Raw genomic sequence first — 13512 nt, forward strand, 5'->3', positions numbered from 1 at the left:
CCAATAATCACTTTAAATGTGAATGGTTTAAACTCCTTTAAAGACACAAACTGTCAAAACCACTAAAAAAGAAATAGCTTGAATAGCCCTGTATCTATTAAAGAAATTTGGGTTTGTAGTTTTAAATTTTCCCATAAAGGAAACTCTAGGTCTAAACAACTTTACTGAAGAAGTCTACCAAAATTAAGAAATATGTAATATTTATTCTACATAAACTCTTCCAAAAATAAAATTTGAGGGAGCACCCTGAATTCATTCTATTACTTAAGCATTATCTTGATCCCAAAACCAGGTGGTTATTCTAAGAAAACTCACCTACAAACTAATTTCCACCATGAACATAGAAGCAAAAATCCTTAACAAAATTTAAGCAAATTGAATCCAGCAATATATAAAAAAGCTAATACATCATGACCAAGTGGAGTTTATCTCCAGAATGCAAGATCAGTTTAACATTTAAAAAAATGTATCAAGGCGTGGTGATTAGGTTTTCACACTCATGTGTGAGATGTGCCTCCCTTGAACTTTGTTACATTGGCACTTTACCCATTTGACATGGGGGAGAAAAAGAAAATTAAAAAAAAAATCAGTGTAGTGGCCATATTAACATTCTAAAAGGAAAATCATATGATCATCTCAATAGTTACACAAAAATCATTTGCCAAAATTCAAAACACACATTTATGATAAAAACTCTCAGTGAACTTAGAAGGGAACTTTCTCAACCTGGTAAAGGTCATGCATGGGAAACCTACAGCTAGCATAATAATAAATGATGAAAAGCTAAGTTTTTTATCCTAAGATCAGAAGCAAAGAAAAGATGTTTTCTCTCCCTACTCCTAGTCAACAGAGTACTGGACATACTAGCCACGTGCAATTCGGCTAAAGAAATAAATAGCACCCAGACTGGAAAAGAAGAAATAGAACTATTCTAAAATTAACTTTCTCCAATTTCATTAGCCATGATACTTGGGTACAGACTTAGGTAGGATGAGGCTCAGAGACTCAACTTCTCTCTGTTCTTGGTTCTGAGCTGCCTTCCACCAGGCAAAAGGAGTCATCCATATGGCATACAAGAAGAGCCTGTGAGATGTAGTGCCACAGCCTCACAGTGATAACACTGGAGCATTTGCCTGACCTTGCCCTCTGCACACACTGCTTTCAGGAACACTTCAGAGTTGTCAATGTCTGGCACAGACAGCCAGGGACTCAAAAACCTAGGTATCTGTCACGTCTTGCTCAATCTTTCCATTACCAGCACTGTCATATGCCACATAACAACGTTTTGGTCAATGACAGACCATGTGACACGGTCCCAATGACAGACCATGTGACATGGTCCCATAAGATTAAAATGGAGCTGAAAAAGTTCTATCTTCTAGTGACGTCATTACCATGATAATGTTGTAGCATGATTACTTTATTTTTTTTCATAAATTTGGTGTAGCCTAAGTGGATAGTGTTTATAATGTCTACAGTAGTGTAGACTGTAGTGTACAGTAGTGTAGTACTGCCCTAGGCCTTTATGTTCACACACCACTCACTCACTGACTCACCCAGAGCAACTTCCAGTCCTCAAGCTCCATTCATGGTAAGAGTCCTATACAAGTATATCATTTTTTGTCTTTTATGTCATATTTTACTGCACCTTTTCTATGTTTAGATGCACATACACTTACCACTGTGTTACAATTGCCTACAGTATTCAGTACAATGACATGCGGTAGAGGTTTGTAGTGTAGGAGCAAAAGGCTCTGCCATATAGCCTAGGTGTCTAGTAGGCTCTACCATCTAGGTTGTGCAAGTGCACTCTGTAACGTTCGCACAGTGATGAAGTTGCCTAACAATGCATTTCCCAGAAAGGATCTCCATCATTACGTGGTGCATGACTGTATTGTGATTACCCCACAGAGGCAGAATGAGCCATCCCTCCTCACCCAGAATTTGCTTCCAGATGTCAAGATTGATGATGCCATACACCCACATGCCAAGAGGGTAAAAATGTTTATTCTTCATATAATGAGATTCTCTGGGAAAAGCAGGATAGACTTCCAAGTAGGGTCAAAAATGGTTTTTAGAGAGAGTAGCAAGGGACAACTGAGTTGGAGTTTTATGGTGATTATGGAGTGGGGCTGGGGTGAGGGCCTGGGCTTGCATGGTTTGAGCTTCCCACTGATACGAAAGCAAAAAGCACCCTGGCTCTCATAAGCCTCCCCAGATGAGAGGGTAGAAAGAGAAAAGGGATTGGTGGGGCTAGGAAGCTGTCAGCAGTCAAACACCACAAATGGAGTCAGATTCTTTATTACACCAAAACTATCAGTAATTCCTTTAAAGAGCTGCCTCCCAACTCTTCTACCCTCAGTGTGACGAGCATCCCCCCAAGCTCTCACCCCAGAAACACCTGTCTTGGGAACAGCAGGCTATGGGGGTGGGAGTGTCACTCCCACACAAGGAACAGCCATAAGGTGACAGAACCTAATGAGCTTGCAGGGAATATTTAAATTGCTAAACAACATAGTATATTTACTACCGCATTTATCCCTAAGCATTTGCAGTAAAAATCAAACTGATGCCATTAGGTGGTCCTCCAGTGGCATGTACTTGGAAGCTCTCCTTTTTTAGCCAAAATTGATTTGAGGTTGTGTATACTTCTGTCTTTCAAACAGCAATTGAAAATCTGAATGGTGGGGAATTAAGCAGAGAAAAAGGGAGGAGCTTAAGGCAAGGGCAGGAAAGAATCTGTTCAGCTACCCCTGGGAGATGGTTATGACAGCCTCATCTGTCTCTGCTGTCCTATTACAGGGACAATCAGCAGCATAGTGTGAAAGAAAGCACCTCAGCTTTGAAGCCAACTGACAAATTTCAACTCTGGCTCAGTCACTTAATATGTGACCTTAAGAAATTTATTTTCTCATAACCTTGTTTATATCATCTATAAATTAGGGATAGCAATACCTACAACAATAAGATTGTTATAAGGAATAGATTATAAAGTTTGTGTAAGTTTCCAATATAATGTGTGCCACATATATAATAGGTACTCAGCAAATGTTAGTGTGTTTCTACCACCGTACTCATCCTTAGGACAACCACCAATAACAAAGAATTGTGGGTTTTCAGAAACATCCACGTTTCTTATCTCTCCATTATTCTATCCATCGTGCATACATTGCTCTCCAAAATTACCAAAAAAAGATCATCTTGTCTGCACTCTAAAACCTCCAGGAACTCACCACCTCCTCAGCACATTCCATCTTCCAGACATGCTAACAGAAAGCTCTCTCTTAAACCAAACTGAAATCTGGCTTGCCATGGCACAGAATCTTCCAAAGAGCTGTTAATAGAAAAGTATTCTGGAAGATGCTAGCAGTTGAGTAGAAAATAAAGGAAGCCCTTGATTTCAATTCCTGACCATATTTCAGACCAGAAATCTTGAAAAACCACCAAAGTACAAAGAACTCAAGAAGGTAGTGTGAAATATTTTCAGGTATGTTTTTTGTTTGTTTGCTTTGTTTTGCTTTTGTTTTGTTTTGTTTTGTTTTCTTGGAGACGAGCTCTCACTCTGTTGCCTAGGCTGCCATCATAGCTCACTGTAACCAAACTCCTGGGCTCATGCTATCCTCCCACCTCAGCCTCCTGAGTAGCTGGGACTAGATGAATGCCACCATGCTCAGCTTAATTTAATGTCTTTTTTTTTTTTTTTGGAGCTTTTATGTATTTACTTGTATATATTCCTGGGGTACAAGTGCAATTTTGCTACATGGATATATTGCATTGTGGTGACGTCGGGGCCTTCAGGGCATCACTGGAACAACACACACTATACCCACCAAGTAACCCCCCATCCTCCACCCTGCCTCCCATCCCCTCAGCCCCCACCCTCTGAGTCTCCACTGTCCATCATTCCACATGCTACATCCATGTATACACATTTTTTTAGCTCCCACTTATTAGTGAAAACGTGTGGTATTTGCCTTTCTTTCTTTCTTTTTTTTTTTTACTTAAAATTGATATTTTTTTTTCATAGAGAAACTAAAATCCAACCCACTCTTTATAGGGTGATTTCCATTTTGCAGTGTCTCCAAAATTGCTTTTTATTATTATTATTATACTTTAAGTTTCAGGGTACATGTGCACAATGTTCAGGTTAGTTACATATGTATACATGTGCCATGCTGGTGTGATACACCCATTAACTCGTCATTTAGCATTAGGTATATCTCCTAATGCTATCCCTCCCCCCTCGCCCCACCCCACAACAGTCCCCAGGGTGTGATGTTCCCCTTCCTGTGTCCATGTGTTCTCGTTGTTCATTTCCCACCTATGAGTGAGAATATGCGGTGTTTGGTTTTTTGTTCTTGTGATAGTTTACCGAGAATGATGACTTCCAATTTCATCCATGTCCCTACAAAGGACATGAACTCATCATTTCTTATGGCTGCATAGTATTCCATGGTGTATATGTGCCACATTTTCTTAATCCAGTCTATCATTGTTGGACATTTGGGTTGGTTCCAAGTCTTTGCTATTGTGAATAATGCCGCAATAAACATACGTGTGCATGTGTCTTTATAGCAGCATGATTTATAGTCCTTTGGGTATATACCCAGTAATGGGATGGCTGGGTCAAATGGTATTTCTAGTTCTAGATCCCTGAGGAAACGCCACACTGACTTCCACAAGGGTTGAACTAGTTTACAGTCCCACTAACAGTGTAAAAATGTTCCTATTTCTCCACATCCTCTCCAGCACCTGTTGTTTCCTGACTTTTTAATGATTGCCATTCTAACTGGTGTGAGATGGTATCTCATTGTGGTTTTGATTTGCATTTCTCTGATGGCCAGTGATGGTGAGCATTTTTTCATGTGTTTTTTTGGCTGCATAAATGTCTTCTTTTGAGAAGTGTCTGTACTTGTCCTTTGCCCACTTTTCAATGGGGTTGTTTGTTTTTTTCTTGTGAATTAGTTTGAGTTCATTGTAGATTCTGGATATTAGCCCTTTGTCAGATGAGTAGGTTGTGAAATTTTTCTGCCATTTTGTAGGTTGCCTGTTCACTCTGATGGTAGTTTCTTTTGCTGTGCAGAAGCTCTTTAGTTTAATTAGATCCCATTTGTCAATTTTGGCTTTTGTTGCCATTGCTTTTGGTGTTTTAGACATGAAGTCCTTGCCCATGCCTATGTCCTGAATGGTAATGCCTAGGTTTTCTTCTAGGGTTTTTATGGTTTTAGGTCTAACGTTTAAGTCTTTAATCCATCTTGAATTAATTTTTGTATAAGGTGTAAGGAAGAGATCCAGTTTCAGCTTTCTACATATGGCTAGCCAGTTTTCCCAGCACCATTTATTAAATAGGGAATCCTTTCCCCATTGCTTGTTTTTCTCAAGTTTGTCAAAGATCAGATAGTTGTAGATATGCAGCATTATTTCTGAGGGCTCTGTTCTGTTCCATTGATCTATATCTCTGTTTTGGTAACAGTACCATGCTGTTTTGGTTACTGTAGCATTGTAGTATAGTTTGAAGTCAGGCAGCCTGATGCCTCCAGCTTTGTTCTTTTGGTTTAGGATTGACTTGGCGATGGGGACTCTCTTTTGGATCCATATGAACTTGAAAGTAGTTTATTCCAATTCTGTGAAGAAAGTCATTGGTAGCTTGATGGGGATGGCATTGAATCTATAAATTACCTTGGGCAGTATGGCCATTTTCATGATACTGATTCTTCCTACCCATGAGCATGGAATGTTCTTCCATTTGTTTGTATCCTCTTTTATTTCATTGAGCAGTGGTTTGTAGTTCTCCTTGAAGAGGTCCTTCACATCCCTTGTAAGTTGGATTCCTAAGTATTTTATTCTCTTTGAAGCAATTGTGAATGGGAGTTCACTCATGATTTGGCTCTCTGTTTCTCTGTTATTGGTGTATAAGAATGCTTGTGACTTTTGTACATTGATTTTGTATCCTGAGATTTTGCTGAAGTTGCTTATCAGCTTAAGGAGATTTTGGGCTGAGACAATGGGGTTTTCTAGATATACAATCATGTCATCTGCAAACAGGGACAATTTGACTTCCTCTTTTCCTAATTGAATACCCTTTATTTCTTTCTCCTGCCTGATTGCCACGGCCAGCACTTCCAACACTATGTTGAATAGGAGTGGTGAGAGAGGGCATCCCTGTCTTGTGCCAGTTTTCAAAGGGAATGCTTCCAGTTTTTGCCTATTCAGTATGATATTGGCTGTGGGTTTGTCATAGATAGCTCTTATTATTTTGAGATATGTCCCATCAATACCTAATTTATTGAGAGTTTTTAGCATGAAGAGTTGTTGAATTTTGTCAAAGGCCTTTTCTGCATCTATTGAGATAATCATGTGGTTTTTGTCTTTGGTTCTGTTTATATGCTGGGTTACATTTATTGATTTGCATATATTGAACCAGCCTTGCCTCCCAGGGATGAAGCCCACTTGATCATGGTGGATAAGCTTTTTGATGTGCTGCTGGATTCAGTTTGCCAGTATTTTATTGAGGATTTTTGCATCAATGTTCATCAAGGATATTGGTCTAAAATTCTCTTTTTTGGTTGTGTCTCTGCCAGGCTTTGGTATCAGGATGATGTCGGCCTCATAAAATGAGTTAGGGAGGATTCCCTCTTTTTCTATTGATTGGAATAGTTTCAGAAGGAATGGTACCAGTTCCCCCTTGTACCTCTGGTAGAATTCGGCTGTGAATCCTTCTGGTCCTGGACTCTTTTTGGTTGGTAAGCAATTGATTATTGCCACAATTTCAGAGCCTGTTATTGGTCTATTCAGAGATTCAACTTCTTCCTGGTTTAGTCTTGGGAGGGTGTATGTGTTGAGGAATTTATCCATTTCTTCTAGATTTTGTAGTTTATTTGCATTGAGGTGTTTGTAGTATTCTCTGATGGTAGTTTGTATTTCTGTGGGATCAGTGGTGATATCCCCTTTATCATTTTTTATTGCATCTATTTGATTCTTCTCTCTTTTCTTCTTCATTAGTCTTGCTAGAGGTCTATCAATTTTGTTGATCCTCTCAAAAAATCAGCTCCTGGATTCATTAATTTTTTGAAGGGTTTTTTGTGTCTCTATTTCCTTCAGTTCTGCTCTGATTTTAGTTATTTCTTGCCTTCTGCTAGCTTTTGAATGTGTTTGCTCTTGCTTTTCTAGTTCTTTTAATTGTGATGTTAGGGTGTCAATTTTGGATCTTTCCTGCTTTCTCTTGTGGGCATTTAGTGCTATAAATTTCCCTCTACACACTGCTTTGAAAGTGTCCCAGAGATTCTGTTATGCTGTGTCTTTGTTCTCATTGGTTTCAAAGAACATCTTTATTTCTGCCTTCGTTTCATTATGTACCCAGTAGTCATTCAGGAGCAGGTTGTTCAGTTTCCATGTAGTTGAGTGGTTTTGAGTGAGTTTCTTTATCCTGAGTTCTAGTTTGATTGCACTGTGGTCTGAGAGACAGTTTGTTATAATTTCTGTTCTTTTACATTTGCTGAGGAGTGCTTTACTTCCAACTATGTGGTCAGTTTTGAAATAGGTGTGGTGTGGTGCTGAAAAGAATGTATATTCTGTTGATTTGGGGTGGAGAGTTCTGCAGATGTCTATTAGGTCTGCTTGGTGCAGAGCTGAGTTCAATTCCTGGATATCCTTGTTAACTTTCTGTGTCGTTGATCTGTCTAATGTTGACAGTGGGGTGTTAAAGTCTCTCATTATTATTGTGTGGGAGTCTAAGTCTCTTTGTAGGTCTCTAAGGACTTGCTTTATGAATCTGGGTGCTCCTGTATTGGGTGCATATATATTTAGGATAGTTAGCTCTTCTTGTTGAATTGATCCCTTTACCATTATGTAATGGCCTTCTTTGTCTCTTTTGATCTTTGTTGGTTTAAAGTCTGTTATCAGAGACTAGGATTGCAACCCCTGCCTTTTTTTGTTTTCCATTTGCTTGGTAGATCTTCCTCCATTCCTTTATTTTGAGCCTATGTGTGTCTCTGCATGTGAAATGGGTCTCCTGAATACAGCACACTGATGGGTGTTGACTCTTTATCCAATTTGCCAGTCTGTGTCTTTTAATTGGAGCATTTAGCCCATTTACATTTAATGTTAATATTGTTATGTGTGAATTTGATCCTGTCATTATGATGTTAGCTGGTTATTTTGCTCATTAGTTGATGCAATTTCTTCCTAGCCTTGATGGTCTTTACAATTTGGCATGTTTTTGCAGTGGCTGGTACCGGTTGTTCCTTTCCATGTTTAGTGCTTCCTTCAGGTGCTCTTTTAGGGCAGGCCTAGTGGTGACAAAATCTCTTGGCATTTGGTTGTCTGTAAAGTATTTTATTTCTCCTTCACTTATGAAGCTTAGTTTGGCTGGATATGAAATTCTGGGTTGAAAATTCTTTTCTTTAAGAATGTTGAATATTGGCCCCCACTCTCTTCTGGCTTGTAGAGTTTCTGCCGAGATATCCACTCTTTGTCTGATGGGCTTCCCTTTGTGGGTAACCCGACCTTTCTCTCTGGCTGCCCTTAACATTTTTTCCTTCATTTCAACTTTGGTGAATCTGACAATTATATGTCTTGGAGTTGCTCTTCTCGAGGAGTATCTTTGTGGCATTCTCTGTATTTCCTGAATCTGAACGTTGGCCTGCCTTGCTTTATTGGGGAAGTTCTCCTGGATAATATCCTGCAGAGTGTTTTCCAACTTGGTTCCATTCTCCCCATCACTTTCAGGTACACCAATCAGATGTAGATTTGGTCTTTTCACATAGTCCCATATTTCTTGGAGGCTTTGCTCATTTCTTTTTATTCTTTTTTCTCTAAACTTCCCTTCTCACTTCATTTCATTCATTTCATCTTCCATCGCTGATACCCTTTCTTCCAGTTGATTGCATCGGCTCCTGAGGCTTCTGCATTCTTCACGTAGTTCTCGAGCCTTGGCTTTCAGCTCCATCAGCTCCTTTAAGCACTTCTCTGTATTGGTTATTCTAGTTATACATTCGTCTAAATTTTTTTCAAAGTTTTCAACTTCTTTGCCTTTGGTTTGAATTTCCTCCTGTAGCTCGGAGTAGTTTGATCATCTGAAGCCTTCTTCTCTCAACTCATCAAAGTCATTCTCCGTCCAGCTTTGTTCCATTGCTCGTGAGGAACTGCATTCCTTTGGAGGAAGAGAGGCACTCTGCTTTTTAGAGTTTCCAGTTTTTCCGCTCTGTTTTTTCCCCATCTTTGTGGTTTTATCTACTTTTGGTCTTTGATGATGGTGATATACAGATGGCTTTTTGGTGTGGATGTCCTTTCTGTTTGTTAGTTTTCCTTCTAACAGACAGGACCCTCAGCTGCAGGTCTGTTGGAGTTTGCTAGAGGTCCACTCCAGACCCTGTTTGCCTGGGTACCAGCAGCGGTGGCTGCAGAACAGTGGATTTTCGTGAACCGCAAATGCTGTTGTCTGATCATTCCTCTGGAAGTTTTGTCTCAGAGGAGTACCTGGCCATGTGAGGTGTCAGTCTGCCCCTACTGGGGGGTGCCTCCCAGTTAGGCTGCTCAGGGGTCAGGGGTCAGGGACCCACTTGAGGAGGCAGTCTGCCCATTCTCAGATCTCCAGCTGCGTGCTGGGAGAACCACTGCTCTCTTCAAAGCTGTCAGACAGGGACATTTAAGTCTGCAGAGGTTACTGCTGTCTTTTTGTTTGTCTGTGCCCTGCCCCCAGAGGTGGAGCCTATAGAGGCAGGCAGGCCTCCTTGAGCTGTGGTGGGCTCCACCCAGTTCGAGCTTCCCGGCTGCTTTGTTTACCTAAGCAAGCCTGGGCAATGGTGGGCGCCCCTCCCCCAGCCTTGTTGCGCCTTGCAGTTTGATCTCAGACTGCCGTGCTAGCAATCAGCGAGACTCCATGGGCATAGGACCCTCCGAGCCAGGTGCAGGATATAATCTCCTGGTGTGCCATTTTTTAAGCCCATCCAAAAAGCACAGTTTTAGGGTGGGAGTGATCCGATTTTCCAGGTGCCGTCTGTCACCCCTTTCTTTGACTAGGAGAGGGAACTCCCTGACCCCTTGCACTTCCCGAGTGAGGCAATGCCTCACCCTGCTTCGGCTGGTGCATGGTGGGCTGCACCCACTGTCCTGCACCCACTGTCTGGCACTCCCTAGTGAGATGAACTCGGTACCTCAGATGGAAATGCAGAAGTCACCCATCTTCTGCATCGCTCATGCTGGGAGCTGTAGACAGGAGCTGTTCCTATTCGGCCATCTTGGCTCCATCCCCCTTTTTTTTTTTTTTTTTTTTTTTTTTTTTTCAGAAATGAGGTCTCACTGTCTCCAACTCCTGAACTCAAGAAATCCTCCCCACTTGGCCTCTCAAAATGCTGACATTACAGGTGTAAGCCACCATGCCCAGCCTCAAATATGTTTTTAAGTGAATAATGCATAGCAGAGGTGACATGACAATAAGGAAAGTCCTCAAAAATCAGAAAGACATAAAACACCTACCCAGAGAGGTGTGAGTGCTGAGCAGCCAGTTGCCCTGAGGACACCTGCTCATCACTGGCAAACTGAAGTTACCTTTTTCAATCAGCATTTTCCTGGAGAAAAGGGAAAAAAAAAGGGCCCTTGGCTTATAAAAAGTAAGAAGTTAATCTAAGGCCCCTGCATAAATCGGAGACCCTTAAACACTCAGTGAAAGACTAGGCATGGTGGATAATGCCTGTAATCCCAACACTTTGGGAGGCTGAGTCAGGTGGTTTAAGAATAAAAAACTTACCAACCTTAGATTTTGACAAATTAAGATCACATGTTATAATTTTAAAGGTAACCACTCAAATAATAGAAATAGAATGTGTAACATCTAAACTAGTAGAGGATAAAAATGCAAAGATTTTAAAAACCCAATCCAAAAGAAAATAAAAAAGAAGATAAAAGGAAAAACAGAATATCAGAGAGAACAGAAAGCACAAAACAAGTGGTAAATTTGGAATGAAATATATTTGTAATAACATTAAGCATAAATAAACTAAATTGCTTAGTTAAAAGAGAAATATAAACACAGACTAGATGAAGAAACAAAATCTAACTAAATATAAGGACACTGAAAGATGGAAGGAAAAGGCCAGGCACGGCGGCCCATGCCTGTAATCCCAGCACTTTGGGAGGCCAAGACAGGTGGATTACCTGAGGTTGGGAATTCAAGACCAGCCTGACCAACATGGAGAAATCCTATCTCTACTAAAAATACAAAATTAGCTGGGCATGGTGGCCCATGCCTGTAATCCCAGCTACTCAGGAGGCTGAGGCAGGAGAATTGCTTGAACCTGGGAGGCAGAGGTTGCAGTGAGCCAAGATCGCATCATTGCACTCCAGACTGAGCAACAGGAGCGAAACTCTGTCTCAAGAAAGAAAGAAAGAAAAGGAAGGGAAGGGAAGGGAGAAAGAAAGAAAGAAAGAAAGAAAGAAAGAAAGAAAGAAAGAAAGAAAGAAGAAAGAAAGAAAGAAAGAAGAAAGAAGGAAAATGGTGAAAAAGATACACTTTGCTAATACCAAGCATAGTAAAGCTGGTAGATTTCTGCTTCCAACCAAGATGGAGTAACAGGGACTGGATTTACCCTCATGCCAGAAACAACCAAAAAACCAACAAACTATATGAGAAAAAAAAAAGCCAGAACCCTGCACATCAGGTAACAAAGTACAATGATCCCTGAGAGATAGAAAACAAATAAGATGAAACTTACACCTGCCCAAGCTTACTGCACTGAGAGAGATGCCAGGGCATGGCACAGGGAGAGGACACCGAGACAGAACCCAAAGGACTTCAGGTGAGAAGATAAAGCTGAGAGTCCAGATAGATCAAAACATATCTAGCAGGCTAGAGTGCCAGAGAAGAGAGAACTGCACAGAGAAAGAACTCCAGAAATCTGCAGGTGTCCCTCTAGCATTCAAGATTATTGATCATCATAATGCATGTGAGGACACAACACAAAGCCAGGAGAAGAATCACCCGAAAGGACCAGAAGTGACAGTGTGCAGCAATCACACACAGCTAAGAATAATGACTCTTCCAACTGCCAGACTGGAAAGCCTCAAGACTCACAGGGTATTGAGCATATTGCACAGAAAGGTCCTGCCTTAATAATGGGGACTAACTAGCCCCACACTGAGCACCACTCTGTTCCCACTTGAAAAATCATACAAGCAAAGTCCTGAAAGGATCAGTTTCCAAGTGATTTAAATGCATCTTAGAACAAAGCTCAAGAATACTGGAAATAATTCAAAAATAACCAGCATCAAATAAGGTAAAGTGTACAATGTATGGCATCCAATTAAAAATTACCAGTCATACAAAGAATCAGGAAAATATGACCCATACTGAGGAGAAAAATTGTTAAGCCAAAGCTGATCCAAAACTGATACAGATGTTAGAATTAGCAAACAAGAATGTTAAAATAGCTATTGTTACTGGTTTCATATGTTCAAAAAGTTAAGTGAAGACATAAAAGGCATTAATAGATTCCAATTGAACTTCTAGAGATGAAAACTGCAACATATGAGATGAAAATATACTGGATGAGTTTAACAGCAGATTAGCATAAAATAAGAAAAAAACAGTGAACTTGAAGACATAACAATAGAAACTATCAAAAAAGAAAAGCAGTATGCAAAAAAGTCGAAGACAGGCTGGGTGCAGTGGCTGATGTCTGTAATCCTGGCAATTTGGGAGGCCGAGGTGGGTGGATCACTTGAGGTCAGGAGTTCGAGACCAGCCTGGCCAACATGGTGAAACCCTGTCTCTACTAAAAATACAAAAATTAGCCAGGAGCGGTGGCAGGCACCTGTAATCCCAGCTACTCAGGAGGCTGAGGCAGGAGAATCACTTGAACCCAGGAAACAGAGGTTGCAGTGAGCTGAGTTCACACCATCTCACTCCAGCCAGGGCAACAGATACACTGCCTCAAAAGAAAAAAAAAATCCAAGAGAATTTTAAAATATATTGATTGTGGTGATGATTTCATGGGTGTATACATAATATCAAAATCTATCAAATTATATACTTTAAATATGTACAGTTTATTGCATGCCAGTTATACCTCAAGAAATCTGTTTTTAGAAAAAGTTGTGCAGCTATATTAATATCCATCAATAAATTTTAATATATAAAGTAAAATGAAAATTAAAGAGGCACACTTAATAATGATCATTTCAATTTACCAGAAACATGTAACACTAAGTTTCTGTGTATATAATAACACGACCTCAAAATACAGAAAGCAAATTTTGACAGAACTACAGAAGACAAATCACTATGGAAAATCTTAATATTTCTCTTTCCATAATTGATAGAACAAATAAATCCAGTGAAGCTATAAAATATTTTAATAATTTGATTAACAAACTTGACTTAACAGTCATATGTAGAACACTGTATTCTACAACTATATAATAAAGATTCTTTTCAAGCACACATGGAAGAATTATAAAAATATAAGAACATGTACTTGGCTGTTAATCAGGTTTCAACAATTTCAAAGGATGGAA

At 40.1% G+C, this 13512-nt stretch overlaps 1 pseudogene; it reads left to right on the forward strand.

The window, feature by feature from the left end:
* The first annotated feature begins 443 nt into the window (after window positions 1-443).
* Window positions 444-556, forward strand: LOC124904845 (uncharacterized; annotated as a pseudogene).
* The last annotated feature ends 12956 nt before the right edge of the window (window positions 557-13512 follow it).

Source organism: Homo sapiens, chromosome 1, assembly GCF_000001405.40.
Source record: "Homo sapiens chromosome 1, GRCh38.p14 Primary Assembly".
Classification (NCBI taxonomy): domain Eukaryota; kingdom Metazoa; phylum Chordata; class Mammalia; order Primates; family Hominidae; genus Homo; species Homo sapiens.